Below are 15,005 nucleotides of genomic sequence, written 5' to 3' on the forward strand. Positions count from 1 at the left end.
GCCCCTTCGGAGCGACGAGCAGTGGGTGAGGCGGGGCCAGGCCGCTGCACCGAGGAGCCCCCGGGCCCAGGGCAGACGGGCCCCGTGGCGGCGGCGCCGGGGCCTGCCCGGGAATGGCGGGCAAGCCGGCCTCGGCCCACCGGCCGGCACGCGAAGGGAGGGCAGCCGGCGGCCATGCGCCCCTTCCCTGCGCCCTCTCGCCCTGGGCAGGCCTGAGCCGGGAGCCCAGGTCCCGCGGGCCCAGCCCGGCGGCTTGACCCCGGGAGACCCTGCTTTGAGGCGGGTATCGGTTGCCCTGGCCCAGGCCTCCCGGCCCTCAGGTTGTGTGACTGTGACGGGCAGCCTGGGGCCAAAGGCGGTTGAAGGGGAAGGGGACGCAGATCTCCCACTGCTTGGGGGGGGTGATGTGCTTTGTGGGGGGTCGGGGGTCACCACCCTCCCAGGGGGGTGGGGGAGGGCGGCCAGCACAGCTGGCCGCGAGGGGCGGGGTCGCAGAGGCGAAGTGTGTGTGAGGGTGTGTGGGGGGAGGGCGCGCGGAGGAGGATCGGTGCCCTGCGCGCAGGCGCGAGCAGCCAGCCAGGCCCGAGCCCTGGAAGAACGCCGACGGGGAGCGGGGGCGGCGGGCTGGCGGGAGGGAGGGAGGGCGGGCGGCCTGACGCGAGGGGGCGCAGGGAGCCGCGTCGGCGTCGCGGGGCGCGGGCGATTCGAGGCCGACGCATCCGCGCGTGCGCGCGCCGGCGGTGTGTCCGCGTTAGAGGGGAGTGACGCGTGCGCGTTCACGCGCGCCCGGGAGAGCGGTAAGAAGCGCAGGGAGGCCTGAAGGGGGTGGGGGGGTGGAGAGGCGAGCTGGAGGAGGGGTGGGGAGGTGGCGCCTGCGCAGTGCGCCTCGGAGGAGCTGTGTGTATGTGAGAGTCTGACGGGTTCAAAATGGCGGCGGCTGCTTCAGCGGCTCCTCCTGTGTGAGGGAAACAACACCCCTCCCCGGCAGCGGCGGCGGCGGCGGCGGCTCTCGGAGCACCTTCCCAGCGGCTGGGCCCGTGGCCGCTCTGTCTTTCCTGGGCAGGGGACGCTCCGGGAGGAGGGGCAACGCCAGGGGGCCCATCCCCCGGAATCCCTCTTCTGCGACTGGGGAGTAGCCGGGGGGCTCGTCCCGCAGCGCGGAGCCAGACCTGAGGGGGAGACGCGAGGGGAGCCAGGGCCCCCATCCCGGCGCGCCGCGCCGCTCCCGCCCTGTCCGCCCCCCGGGGCCGGGGCCCGCGTTCCGGGGGGCCGGGGCGGCGCGGGGAGCCTCGGGCCGGCCGGTCTCAGCTGATCGGCCGCTGCTCCCGCAGGCGACCAGCCCCTGCTGGCCGAGGGCACGGCGAGGAGGGCGCTCCCTGCGGCCGGGGCCGGCCCGGGGCTCGGGCCCGGGCTGCTGACCGCTGGCCTGGGGGAGGCGGGGGCGCCCCGGGCTCGGCGCCGAGGGGTCGCGCTCCTCTCTCCTGACGCCTCCGACTCCCGGTCTCCAAAGCCAGAAGAGAAGGTTTGATTCAGCAACTGTTTGCTCCCTTTTCCTGGTCGCTCTGACCCTCTCTGGATACTGGGTTGATCCACGGAAAAACCGAAGACGACGTTTGGGATTTAATTATTCCTCTCAGCTTTGGAATCTTTTACTTCTCACTTGGACAAGAACTCAAGAGCAGAATCTCCGGTGAGTTTCCCCCTCCCCCCCCTCATTTGGAAGTTTGGTTGACTGTGTTATCCAAAGACTGAATGCAAAGTTTCTATCTCTTTTTCCGATGGGTGAACCATTGAAACGCCTTTTCCTGGGGGAGCCCAGCGAGATTCGCCCTTTTTCCTCTCCGGCCCTGGCTGCTCCATGCCCAGGCGGTCGTCGCCCAGGGGGTGCAAGCACGGTTTCCCTCCCGACTTCGGGCCAGGGCTTCCTCCGGGAGGGCTCTGCCTCTAACTGCTCTGCAAACTGTGTCATCGGGTCCTCTGGTCTCGTAGCAGTTTTGAAAGGATGCTGTTAACGTGGCTGTAATGTAGTGACAAAAACGGGGGGAACCTGTGTTCTCAATGGAAGCCATTATCCACGAGAATATTTAGAAAAAAGAAAACCCTTTCTTGGTATTACGGATTGACCGTCGCGCCGGCCGGTCTTTTATTTAATTTTTGGACAAGATGTATTTTCCTTGTATCCTTAGATGCAATCGTTTATTTTATTACTTTATCCAAAAAGATCAGATGGAATTTTGGTCCTTGATTTGCACCTCTGAAATTTGTTTCAGAGTTGTGCACATCTTGTGTTGGGGTGGAGGGTAGATTTGGGAATGATAAGATCCGGGGAGTCTAGAAAGGAAGGCGACGATTGTGCACGGCCTTACAGGAGGGGTATGGGAAATTGTTTTGGGGTCATTTAAATCCTAATTTTTTGTCCTCTTTTTACATAGTCAGTTTGCCCTTCTTTCCTTTAGTTTCTGATTACCGGTGAGAGAGAACTAATTTGGTTAGGATCTGGATTAGTTCAGTGGTGCTTCACCTGGTCAGCTCTCTGGAGATAAAAGTCCTGGGCTTTTTTTTTTTCTTGCTGATGCTGCCATGAAGGAGATCCTTGCTAGTTGTAATCCTGTGGGGAGAAACTGGTGGTGTGGCCCTTCCACAAGGAACTGAAACCAACATCTCGTTTCGTCTAGGCCTCCGACAGTTGTAATGTGATTAATGTTGAACATGACATGGAACCACTTGCCCAAGAGCAGAAAGGTCCCAAACTCATGAAGAGGAACCTGATTTTTCAGAGAGCCTTTAACACTTACCTTAAATACTCCTTTCCGTGAACAGAAAGCACAAGTTTGAGAATGAGTTCTCATTTCTGCTTATATCATTATTCTTTAGTGTTGCAATCTGGTTCCTAAGGAGGAAGAGGAAGGCAGCCCTGGAGTGGTTTCTTTACAGTAATTTCAACAGAAGAGTGAGAGATGGAACCCGAAGAAGAAAGGATTCGTTACAGCCAGAGATTGGTTAGTATTTTCTCCCCCCACCACACCCTCCAGTTTTAAAGTAGGATAACTATTTTGTTTCCAGTTGTGAATATACTGTGAATCTGTGATTAAAACTTTTCGGGTGACTTTTCTGTGCACCAGAGGAGGGGGAAAGGTGTATTAATATCGAATTTGGCTTTTGGCCAAACATGTTTTATATTTTATATATTTATCTTGTTTGGAAATGGAGTTATATGTAGCCTTTAGCTTTTATAGAAACCATTGTATACCAAAGGATTTTGTGGATTACAATGTGACAAAGATTCCTGATTTTACAGTACTGACATTGTAATACATCTGATTACGTTAGATTAGAATATAAATTTTGGGGGCAAAGCTGTTTGAGGAAGGATAGTTCAATACGTTTTTTAAGATTTTGTTGTCCCAGGATTTGTGACTTTGAGCGGGGAGAACTATGGATTATTTTCTTTTATTTTATAAATTAACATTTTGGTAGCTTTGAAGGGTTGTTGGGATTGATTGAAGACAAGTAGGTAGAATACTGGATGCTGATAAAGTTCTGTGTTTTGGGAGGAATGTACGAGATAGATCTTGTTGAAAGAAATTTTAGACATGATTTGAAAGGATTGGCTTATATCTGTATATGAACACTTGGATCCTTTAAGCCATGCTTTCCTCGTAAGGTTTCCCTATTGGAGTTTTAAGAATTCAATTTTTGTTTTTCTTAGCCAAAGAGAGCTTTATTAGTAGTCTCACAGTATTAATAAAAATCTGAATTTGTGTTTGAAGAGTGGGCTATGAGGAAAGCGACAGAATTGTATGTAGTATGTGAAATTTGCTGACCTGAAAGGCCTAGAAGATTACTAAAGGAATTTATGGTGGTTTTATTTGGCTCTGCATTTTAGACTGAATTTAGGAGAAAAAGAATGGTTCTCGAATACATTTTCTAGTGATCCTTACTCTTTTTGAGAAGAGACTTCTTTATTATTTATTTATTTTTATTGAGATTGAGTCTCACTCTGTCGCCCACGCTTGGAGTGCAGTGGCGTGATCTGAGCTCACCGCAGCCTCCACCTCCTGGGTTCAAGTGATCCTCCTGCCTCAGCCTTGCAAGTAGCTGGGACTGTAGGCATGTGCCACCACGTCCAGCTAATTTTTGTATTTTTAGTAGAGAACAGGGTTTTACCATGTTGGCCAGGATGATCTCGATCTGACCTCATGATCCACCCACCTTGGCCTCCCAAAGTGCTGGGATTACAGACGTGAGCCACCGCGCCTGGCCATGGCCTATTTTTTATTTATTTTTATTTATTTATTTATTTATTTATTTATTTATTTATTTATTTATTTTTTGAGACAGAGTCTGGCTCTGTTGCCCAGGCTGGAGTGCAGTGGCGCAATCTCTGCTCACTGCACGCTCCGCCTCCTGGGTTCACACCATTCTCCTGCCTCAGCCTCCCGAGTAGCTGGGACTATCGGCGCCCACCACTACGCCCAGCTAATTTTTTGTACTTTTAGTAGAGACGGGGTTTCACTGTGTTAGCCAGGATGGTCTCGATCTCCTGACCTTGTGATCTGCCCGCCTCGGCCACCCAAAGTGCTGGGATTACAGGTGTGAGCCACTGCATCTGGCCTTTTATTTTTATTTTTATAGACAGGATCTTGCTCTGCCCAGGGTGACGTTCAGTGATGTGATCATAACTCACTGTAGCCTCAAATTCCTGGGCTCAAGCAATCTTCCATTCCAGCCTCCTGAGTAGCTGGGACTACAGGCGTGTGCCACCATGCCAGGGTAATTTTCAGACTTTTTTTTTTCTTAGTGACGGGGTCTTGCTATGTTGCCCACCCTAGTCTTGAACTCCTGGCCTCAAGCGATCCTCCCACCTTGGCATCCCAAAGTGCTGGGATTAACAAGCGTGAGCCACAGTACCTGGCTTTTTTTTTTTTTTTTTTTTTTTTTTGTGACTGCTAGAAAGGTTTGGTGTGTATTGGGAAGTATATATTCAGCATGCATATATTCCGGTGAGCCTAATTTCAGAGATTTGTCTTGTTCCCAGTTCATGTGTTGAGATTATAATTCTTTATCTCTAACTTTGTAGAAATTAAGCATATCTGTAGTAGAATATTGTATCGTTGGGATTTATTTTTATTTTTACATTTCTTGAATTTAACTTTTCTTTGGGAACAGAAAAAGAGATGATGCCATAAAACTCCTTTCCCAGGTAGTTATTGCTATATGGAATTCACTTTTATCATGTCAAGTTGTTAGTTAGGTATCTAAGGAATTTTGCAGTCCAGACTTTAAAGGAAGAGCCTTTCCAGCAAGCAAAACTTTTAACTGTTTTTTTTTTTTGAGACGGAGTTTCACTCTTGTCACCCAGGCTGGTGTCCAATGGCACTATCTCTGCTTACTGCAACCTCTTCCTCCTGGGTTCAAGTGATTCTCTTGTCTCAGCTTCCCGAGTAGCTGAGATTACAGGTGCCTACCACCACACCTGGCTGATTTTTGTATTTTTAGTAAAGACTGAGTTTCACCTTGTTGGCCAGGCTGGTCTCGAACTCCTGACCTCAGATGATCCGCCTGTCTTGGCCTCCCAAAGTGCTGAGATTACAGGCATGAGCCACTGGACCTGGACTTTTGGGTTTTGTTGTTGTTGTTTGTTTGTTGGTTTGTTTGTTTTGAGACTGAGTCTCGCTCTGTTGCCCAGGCTGGAGTGCAATGGCACTATCAGGGCTCACTGCAACCTCTGGCTCCCGGGTTCAGGTGATTCTCCTGCCTCAGCTTCCTGAGTAGCTGGGACTACAGGTGCCCACCACCACACCCAGCTAATTTTTATATTTTTAGTAAAGATGGAGTTTCACCATGTTGGCCAGGCTGGTCTTGAACTCCTGACCTCAGATGATCCACCCACATCAGCCTCTCAAAGTGCTGGGATTACAGGTGTGAGCCACCGTGCCCGGCTTCACTTTATTTTTATATATATTTTTTGAAATGGAGACTCACTCTGTTACCCAGACTGGAGTGCAGTGGCACGATCTTGGCTCACTGCAACCTCTGCCTCCCAGGTTCAAATGATTCTCCTGCCTCAGCCTCCCAAGTAGCTGCGATTACAGGCGCCTGCCACCATGCCCGGCTAATTTTTTTGTATTTTTAGTTGAGACGGGGTTTCGCTATATTGGCAGGCTGGTGTCGAACTCCTGACCTCAGATGATCACCCACCTCGGCCTCCCAAAGTGCTGGGATTACAGGTGCGAGCCACTGTGCCTGGCCCACTTTTTTTTTTTTTTTTTTTTTTTAAACAAGGTAGGGAGGAATAGTGGGAAGGAGAGTCAAGTACTCTTGACTTTTGTCTTGGCAAGATTTTTTTTTTTCTTTTTTTCTTTAAGTTGTAAGGTGATTGGTACTTGTTGCATACATTAACCCTTAACTAGCATATGTTTTCTTTTGTTTAATGTGCTATCTTAGCAGTGTTTGTGTAAGAGGACACATCATCTATTTGGAGAGAACTTTCTTTTTCTTTCTTTTTTTTTTTTTGAGACAGAGTCTTGCTCTGTCGCCCAGGCTGGAGTGCAGTGGCTCGATCTTGGCTCACTGCAAGCTCTACCTCCCGGGTTCACGCCATTCTCCTGCCTCAGACTCCCGAGTAGCTAGGGCTACAGGCGCCCGCCGCCACACCCGGCTAATTTTTTTTTGTATTTTTTAGTAGAGATGGGGTTTCACCATGTTAGCCAGGATGGTCTCGATCTGCTGACCTCGTGATCCGCCTGCCTCGGCCTCCCAAAGTGCTGGGATTACAGGCTTGAGCCACCGCACCCAGCCTGGAGGGAACTTTCTTTTTTTTTTTTCTTTTTTTTTTATTTGAGATAGGGGTCTTTGTCGCCCAGTCTAGAGTGCAGTGGCATGATCATAGGTCATTGCAGCCTCGACATCCTGGTCTCGAGTGATCTTCCCACGTCAGCTTCCCAGGTAGCTAGGACTACAGCCCTGTGCCACCATGCCTGGTTAATTTTTGTATTTTTTGTAGAGGTGGGGTTTTGCCGTGTTCCCAAGGCTAGTCTTGAACTCCTGGGCTCAAACGATCTGCCCGCCTTGGCCTCCCAACAAGTCATTTTTTGGGGGGAAAAAAAAATCAGAAATAACTAGTTAAGGACTGGGTGTGGTGGCTCACACCTGAAATCCCATCACTTTGGGAGGCATAGGCAGGAGGATCACCTGAGGTCAAGAGTTTGAGACCAGCCTGGCCAACATGGTGAAATCCCATCTCTACTAAAAATACAAAAATTAGCTGGGCACTGGGGGTGGTGGTGCGTGCCTGTAATCCCAGCTACTTGGGAGGCTGAGGCAGGAGAATCGCTTGAACCTGGGAGGTGGAGGTTGCACTAAGCAGAGATTGCGCCACTGCACTCCAGCCTGGGCGACAGAGTGAGACTCCATCTCAAAAAAAAAAAAAAAATTAGCCGGGCGTGGTGTAGGGCGCCTGTAATACCAGCTACTCAGGAGGCTGAGTCAGGAGAATCACTTGAACCGGGAGGCAGAGGTTGCAGTGAGCTGAGATTGCACCATTGCACTCCAGCATGGGTGACTGAGCAAGGCTTCACCTCAAAAAAAAAAAAAAAAAAAAAGGCCAGGCACAGTGTCTCACGCCTGTAATCCCAGCACTTCGGGAGGCTGAGGCGGGTGGATCACCTGAGGTCGGGAGATCGAGACCAGCCTGACACAACATGGAGAAACCCCGTCTTTACTGAAAATACAAAATTAGCCGAACGTGGTGACGCATGCCTGTAATCCCAGCTACTCAGGAGGCTGAGGCAGGAGAATCGCTTGAACCCGCGAGACAGAGGTTGTGCTGAGCTGAGATCATGCCGTTGCACTCCAGCCTGGGGAACAAGAGCAAAACTCCGTCTCAAAAAAAAAAAAAAAATGGAATAACTAGTTTAAAAAAATTGTCTTTTGCCAGTTATGGTGACTCACACCTATATTCCCAGCACTTCGGGAGGCCAGGGAGGGAGGATCACTTGAGCCCAGGAGTTTGAGACCAGTCTGGGCAACATAGACCCCCGTTTCTCACACACAGATTGTTTTTTGGCCGGGTGCGGTTGCTTATGCCTGTGATCCCAGCACTTTGGGAGGCTGAGGCGGGTGGATCACCTGAGGTCAGCAGTTTGAGACCAGCCTGACCAACAAGGTGGAACCCTGTCTCTACTAAAAATACAAAAATTAGCCGGATGTGGTGGCAGGCGCCTGTAGTCCCAGCTACTCAGGAGGCTCAGACAGGAGAATTGCTTGAACTCGGGAGGTGGAGGTTGCAGTGAGCTGAGATCACACCACTGCACTCCAGCCTGGGCGACAGAGCGAGACTCCATTTCAAAAAAAAAAAAAAAAAAAGTATTTTTTGCCAAGCTTCATTATTTACCTATTACGTGTGGAAAAGAAATGCACCTTTGAAGATGGTGTGTATGTGTAGATTTGGAATATAAGCTACACTTTCTGGAACTTGGAACCAGAATATTCTGCAGTGTTGGAGTGGAACAGCTAGGAAATGACAAGGGTGGATAAACAATGTTTGGCTTCTCTTAAGTAAGACTTAATTTTTTTTAGGTAATGAAAATATTAGTACTTTTGTATATTGATTGCCAGAACAAAGCCAGAACTCTGATGCAAGTTTGTATACCTGAGAAGGTACTCAAGTGGGAGGGATAGAAGCTTCCTTTTGATGCTGGGGTGGGTTGTTCTGAGGTAACAATGATTTATTTCTGTATTTCTTTTTCTTTTTGGAGACAGGGTCTCACTCCGTTGCCCAGGCTAGAGTGCAGTGGTGTGATCATTCCTCTTTGTAGCCTCAACCGCCTGGCTCAAGTGGTCCTCCCATCTCAGCATGTAGCTGGGACTACAGGCATGCATGTGCCACCATGCCTGGCTAATTTTTAATTTTTTCTGTAAAGGCAGGCTATCCCTGTTCGGGCTGCTCAGGCTGGTCTGGTTTTTTTTGCTCAGTCTGGTCTTGAACTCCCAGACTCAAGCGATCCACCTTGGCTTCCCAAAGTGCTGGGAGTACAGGTGTGAGCCACTATGCCTGGTGTGCTTGTCAATCTTGATGAAATTGAGAGTTTTTAGCACTTTCACCTAGCAAAAAAAAATAAAAAATAAGAAATTGAGAGCTTTTCTAAAAGATGTTATTATCGCATGTTCAATCCTGTTAACCTGTCTTACATATAATTATGAAATAGCTAAATCATTTATCTGTTACAAGGAACTGCGGCCACTGAAACTCTGGCAATAGTCCCACCTTTCCTTGGTTTACCTTTGAAAGTGCCTCCCCAAATTCAGCAGCGATTACCAGATTATCTTTTTTAAATTAATTAATTTATTTATTTATTTATTTTGAGATGGAGTTTTGCTCTTGTTGCCGAGGCTGGAGTGCTATGACGCAATCTGGGCTCACCGCAACCTCCCTCTCCTGGGTTCAAGCGATTCTCCTGCTTCAGCCTCTGAGTAGCTGGGATTACAGGCATGCACCACCATGCCCGGCTAATTTTGTATTTTTGGTAGAGACGGGGTTTCACCATGTTAGCCAGGCTGGTTTCAAACTCCCGACCTCAGGCAGGCGATCTGCCTGCCTCGGCTTCCCAAAGTGCTGGGATTACAGTTGTGAGCCAGCACACCCGGCCTTTTTTTTTTTTTTTTTTTTTTTTAGGCGGGGTCTTGCTCTGTTGCCCAGGCCGGAGTGCAATGGCACTACCACTGCAGCATCAGCCTCCCCAAGTGATCCTCTTACCTCAGCCTCCTGAGTGGCTGGTACCACAGATACATGCCACCACACCTGGCTTATTTTTAAATTCTTTCTAGAGACAGGTTTTCACTGTGTTGTCCAGGCTGGTCTCGAACTCCTGGGCTTAAGTGATCCTCTCTCCTGCCTGGAGGCCTCTCCAGCCTCCCCAGCTCCTGGGATTATAAGTGTGAGCCACTGCGCCTGGACCCGTTCCCACTCTGAGGTCTTTCTGACTGAGAATGGACTAGATAAAATAGAATATTTATTTTAAGCCTTTTTTTTTTCTAGTATGAAAGTATAATGTTAGCTAGAAAAAATTATATGTGGTCTACATTGTTGAATTAGTTTATTTCTAATTATTTTATGAGATTTAGTCTTTAGTCTGTGTTGGTAGAGAGTGCACTGGTCTCATTGTTGCGGCCTCCCTCCTAATAATGTAGGAAAAACTTGACCATTTTTGGGTGATTCAAAAATGCAGATAATGACAACTAATTTTTTATTCTTATACATCAGTCTTCCACAGTAAGCTATATTTTGGGCCCCTAGAATGAGGATTAAATTTAAGCCCTATTATTTTCTGTTGTTTTATTTTGCTGAGCATTAATCACTACTGTACTTTGTGTATAGCTTTCCACTAGAGTATAAGCTTCTTGAGAGTTGGGGCTTTGTTTTTGTTTATGCTGTGTGCTAGATGCTTCAAATAGGGCCTAACACATAGCAAGTGCTGAATAAGTATTTGTTGATATTGTTGAAAGCCTGGATATATGCTCTTCTTTGCTACCAATTTTCTTGAATGCTAGGATTAAGCCACTAGAGTGGAGGAGGGTCTGGATGCAGTGGCTCTCACCTGTGGTCCCAGCTACCCAGGAGGTTGAGGCAGAAGTATCATTTGAGCCCAGGGGCTTAAGGCTGTGATGAGCTATGACTGTGCCAGTGCACTCCAGCTTGGGCTACAGAGCAAGACCCTGTCTCTAAAAAAATGAATAAATTAGAATGGAGGACACTTTGGCAGGTAGGGATGAGGAGGATATCTGGATATTGGGTCTTGCAGTGTAGATAAGAAACAGAGACCTAAACTATAACAAATAAAAACGTATGTGTAGCACACATGTCAGACTACCACATTGATGATGTTTGGTATTTGGACCATTTAGAACAAATAATAAAGTGTCTAGTTGATTTTAAAAGTTTAGTCTGTCTAGGTACAGTGACTTAGGCCTGTAATCCCAGCACTTTGGGAGACCAAGGCCAGTGGAATGCTTGACGTCAGGAGTTGAAGACCAGCCTGACCAACATGGTGAAACCCCGTCTCTACTAAAAATACAAAAATTAGCCGGGCATAGGCCGGGCGCGGTGGCTCACACCTGTAATCCCAGCACTTTGGAAGGCCGAGGCGGGCGGATCACAAGGTCAGGAGATCGAGACCATCCTGGCTAACACGGTGAAACCCCGTCTCTACTAAAAATACAAAAAATTAGCCGGGCGTGATGGTGGGCGCCTGTAGTCCCAGCTACTTAGGAGGCTGAGGCAGGAGAATGGTGTGAACCCGGGAGGCGGAGCTTGCAGTGAGCCCAGATCACGCCACTGCACTCCAGTCTGGGTGACAGAGCGAGACTCCATCTCAAAAAAAAAAAAAAAAAGAAAAAGAAAAATAGCCGGGCATAGTGGCACATGCCTGTAATCCCAGCTACCCAGGAGGCTGAGACAGGAGAATCGCTTCAACTCGGGAGGCAGAGGTTGCTGTACGCCGAGATCGTGCCACTGCACTCCAGCCTGGGCGACAGAGACTCTGTCTCAAAAAAAAAAATTAAAAAAATTAAAGTTTAGTCTGAATTTTAAGCTCTCCTATTCTTTTTTTTTTTTTCTTTTGTGAGACAGTTTCACTGTGGTCACTCAGGCTGGAGTGCAATGGTGCGATCTCTGCTCACTGCAACCTCCGCCTCCCGGGTTCAAGTGATTCTTCAGCCTCAGCCTCCCTAGTAGCTGGGATTACAGGCGTCCGCCACCCCACCTGGCTAATTTTTTTTTTTTTCTTGCACCAAAGCTTTCTAAAGTTAGTGATTTATTTCTGACAAGTTTGCAAAACCCAAGAGAGAGCAGTTTTCTGGGTTGAACTCATACTTCGTGTTTACTCGAGTCTGAGTCACGGCACCTGACTTCCTCACAGGTGCACCTGACTGCTCTTTACCACCTGGCTAATTTTTATATTGTTTTAGTAGAGACAGGGTTTCACCATGTTGGTCAGGCTGGTCTCAAACTCCTCACCTCCAGTGATCCGCCCACTTCGGCCTCCCAAAGTGTTGGGATTACAGGCGTGAGCCACCATGCCCGGCCTTAAGCTCTCCTGTTCTAATCCTGTCCTAAACTGTGCCTAGGTTTTGCTGACCTTTAGACAGCCTTAAAGCTGTGAAGTTGCAAGTGATGATGTTTGTGTTATTCTCGGGTCTTGGTTTTGGTTATTAAGTCAAGGAATTGATACATTATGTATATCATGTAGATAGACATACATTCTTTGTATCTTTCTATTTTGGGGGGGTAACGGACACTCTTAATTAGGTTTCATTAATTTTCTCTGTTTATCTCACTTTTGGAATAATACTTTATTTTTGCATTGCACTTTCACATCAAAAAGGGTTAAAATTCAGTAAACATTTATTATATGCCAGATAGTAGGCTAGGTTCTTTCATATATATTACCTTATTTAATTCTCAAAACAACCCTGGAAGGTAGATGGTATCGTTTTAAACCTTGATTTTTTTTTTTTTTTTAATTATGGAGAGAGAGGCCCAGGGAGGGGCCATGACTTGCCCAAGATCACAGAGTCGGTAAGAGGTGAAACCAGACCTTGAACTCAGGTACCCTGACTCCAAACTCCCAGGTTTCTTCTCTCATACCATCCAACGTCTCTTGTGTACTTTATACAGAAAACAGGCCGGGTGCAGTGGCTCACGCCTGTAATCCCAACTACTTTGCAAGGCCGAGGCGGGCAGATTGCCTGAGGTCAGGAGTTCAAGACCAGCCTGGCCAACATGACGAAACCCCATCTCTACTAAAAATACAAAATTAGCTGGGCATGGTGGTGCACGCCTGTAGTCCCAGCTACTCGGGAGGCTGAGGTGGGAGAATCGCCTGAACCTGGGAGGTGGAGGTTGCTGTGAGCTGAGATCTCACCGTCGCACTCCAGCCTGGGTGACAAGAGCGAAACTCCGTCTCAAAAAAATAATAATAATAACACTCTTACTCCACGGTGTGTAGGCTGAGTACTTTCTCTCTTTTGAGGCTACTTTAGTGTTTTCTTTTCTTTTTTTTTTTTTTTTGAGATGGAATTTCGCTCTTGTCGCCCAGGTTGGAGTGTAGTGGTGCGATATTGGCTCACTGAAACCTCTGCCTCCCAGGTTCAGGCAATTCTCCTGCCTCAGCCTCCTTAGTAGCTGGGATTACAGGCGTGTGCCACCACGCCTGGCTAATTTTTGTATTTTTAGTAGAGATGGGGTTTTACCATATTGGCCAGGCTGGTCTGGAACTCCTGACCTCGGGTGATCCACTTGCCTTGGCCTCCCAGAATGCTGAGATTACAGGCATGAGCCACGACTTTCCGCCTACTTTAACATTTTCTTGCTAACGTCTGTCTGCTTAACATCCTGAATTAGATAGCTATAAATATTTGATAGCCAGTGTTTGATTATGTTTCAAACAAAGATGGCACATTCTTTCTTTTCATGAACTTTGAACTTATTGCACTTGATCTGTTAAAACGGCAGTATTGTGCAGTTTGTGTGTATGTCAAGGCTTTTATTTATGTATGTCACTCATATCCTTGTTTTCTGTTTTAAATTTTAGGTTCTTGGGGTTTTTCTCTGTCTGTGAGTACTTGGTAAAAAGTTAAACCCTAAAGATAAAAGGCAGCAAATAGTGACCAAACGAATGTTTTTGGCAAATACATTGGTGAAGGCCTCCTTCAGGTAGGTAGAGAGGAGGAGGGAAGAGGGTGGCCTTTCAGGTGGTAAAGACAGCATAAGCTTTATACTACTACTATAAGGCCTATTCTGTGGATCTCTGATAGATGAGCAGACTGAAGTAGGTGGTGTCTTTTGAGGGGCACTGCTGATAACGTTGGGTAGAAATTTTAAACAACTTTGAAAGCCAAGTATGGACATAGCCATTAGAAGTTTTGTTTTTTTTGTTTTTTGGATATGGAGTCTCACTGCGATGTCCAGGCTAGAGTGCAATGGCACGATCTCGGCTCACTGTAACCTACGCTTCCTGGGTTCAAGCGATTCTCCTGCCTCAGCCTCCCAAGTAGCTGGGATTACAGGCACGTGCCACCACGCCCGGCTAATTTTTTGTATTTTTAGTAGAGACGGGGTCTCAACTATTATTGGCCAGGCTGGTCTGGAACTCCTGACCTCAAATGATCCGCCTGCCTCGGCCTCCCAAAGTACTGGGATTATAGGCATGAGCCGCTGCGTCCAGCCAGTTTGTTTTTAATATAACAGTGATTTGGCCAAAGTGGCATTTTGGGAGTAATGTCTCCAGTTTCAGGTCGGGGTGGTCTAGAAAGAAATTCAAATAGCTTGCCTTTTGAGGTGACAGGAACCCTGAACTCTTAAGGCAGTGGTTTTCAAAGTGTAGGTCTCTCATTAGCAGCATGAGCATTAACTGAGTGTCTGGGAACATATTAGAATGCAAATTCTTGGGCCCCACCCCAAACTTACTGAACCAGAAACTCTGGAGTTGGGGCCTAGCAATCTGTGTTTTAACAAGACAGGTGATTTTGATCCACGCAAAAGTTTGAGAACCATTGCTGTGGGTTATAGGTAGAAATGGAAAGGAAGAGATAGAAGCAAGACACATTGGCAGTGAAGGACTGACTAAACTTTGTAACTGATGGATAGCAGCATGTTATGATAGAGAAGAGTACTTAATTGGGGATGTTGAGCCTTGAGTTTTAGTATCAAGTCTCTTACCAATTGTGCTTTTATTCGTATTTATTTATTTATTTTTTGAGAGGGAGTTTCACTCTTGTTGGCCAGGCTGGAGTGTAATGGTGCTATCTTGGCTCAGTGCAATCTCCGCCTTCAGGGTTCAAGCACTTCTCCTGCCTCAGCCTCCCAGGTAGCTGGGATTACAGGCGTGCGCCACCACACTGCGCTAATTTTGTGTTTTTTTTTGTAGAGATGGTGTTTTACCATGTTGGTCAGGCTGGTCTCAAACTCCTGACCTCAAGTGATCCACCCGCCTTGGCCTCCCAAA

The 15,005-nt window shown here is 47.8% G+C and overlaps 1 protein-coding gene across 3 annotated transcripts in view, besides 6 other annotated features; it reads left to right on the forward strand.

Moving 5' to 3' along the window:
• Positions 1 to 280: a silencer, noted in NCBI's record as "silent region_3614". NCBI's record gives its function as "represses an Ori minimal core promoter by ATAC-STARR-seq in GM12878 lymphoblastoid cells {active_cell/tissue: GM12878}" and the evidence as "EXISTENCE:reporter gene assay evidence [ECO:0000049][PMID:35858748]".
• Positions 341 to 390: an enhancer, noted in NCBI's record as "active region_5072". NCBI's record gives its function as "activates an Ori minimal core promoter by ATAC-STARR-seq in GM12878 lymphoblastoid cells {active_cell/tissue: GM12878}" and the evidence as "EXISTENCE:reporter gene assay evidence [ECO:0000049][PMID:35858748]".
• Positions 461 to 900: a silencer, noted in NCBI's record as "silent region_3615". NCBI's record gives its function as "represses an Ori minimal core promoter by ATAC-STARR-seq in GM12878 lymphoblastoid cells {active_cell/tissue: GM12878}" and the evidence as "EXISTENCE:reporter gene assay evidence [ECO:0000049][PMID:35858748]".
• KDM2A (lysine demethylase 2A) overlaps positions 904 to 15,005 on the forward strand; it is a 138,820-nt gene continuing 124,718 nt past the window's right edge. For 2 of the 3 annotated variants that reach the window (NR_027473.2, NM_012308.3), the window contains exons 1-2: positions 904 to 1,690; positions 2,875 to 2,999. Coding sequence is in view for 1 of the 3 variants with exons in the window: in NM_012308.3 (NP_036440.1) it covers positions 2,958 to 2,999 (42 nt within the window). In the remaining 2 variants the exon portion in view is untranslated. Of the gene's footprint in view, positions 1,691 to 2,874; positions 3,000 to 13,592; positions 13,715 to 15,005 lie in introns of those variants that run through there. The other variant, XM_017017391.2, reaches the window with a different exon arrangement.
• Positions 1,041 to 1,110: a silencer, noted in NCBI's record as "silent region_3616". NCBI's record gives its function as "represses an Ori minimal core promoter by ATAC-STARR-seq in GM12878 lymphoblastoid cells {active_cell/tissue: GM12878}" and the evidence as "EXISTENCE:reporter gene assay evidence [ECO:0000049][PMID:35858748]".
• Positions 1,291 to 1,430: a silencer, noted in NCBI's record as "silent region_3617". NCBI's record gives its function as "represses an Ori minimal core promoter by ATAC-STARR-seq in GM12878 lymphoblastoid cells {active_cell/tissue: GM12878}" and the evidence as "EXISTENCE:reporter gene assay evidence [ECO:0000049][PMID:35858748]".
• Positions 1,956 to 2,045: a silencer, noted in NCBI's record as "silent region_3618". NCBI's record gives its function as "represses an Ori minimal core promoter by ATAC-STARR-seq in GM12878 lymphoblastoid cells {active_cell/tissue: GM12878}" and the evidence as "EXISTENCE:reporter gene assay evidence [ECO:0000049][PMID:35858748]".

Source organism: Homo sapiens, chromosome 11, assembly GCF_000001405.40.
Source record: "Homo sapiens chromosome 11, GRCh38.p14 Primary Assembly".
NCBI classification, from domain to species: domain Eukaryota; kingdom Metazoa; phylum Chordata; class Mammalia; order Primates; family Hominidae; genus Homo; species Homo sapiens.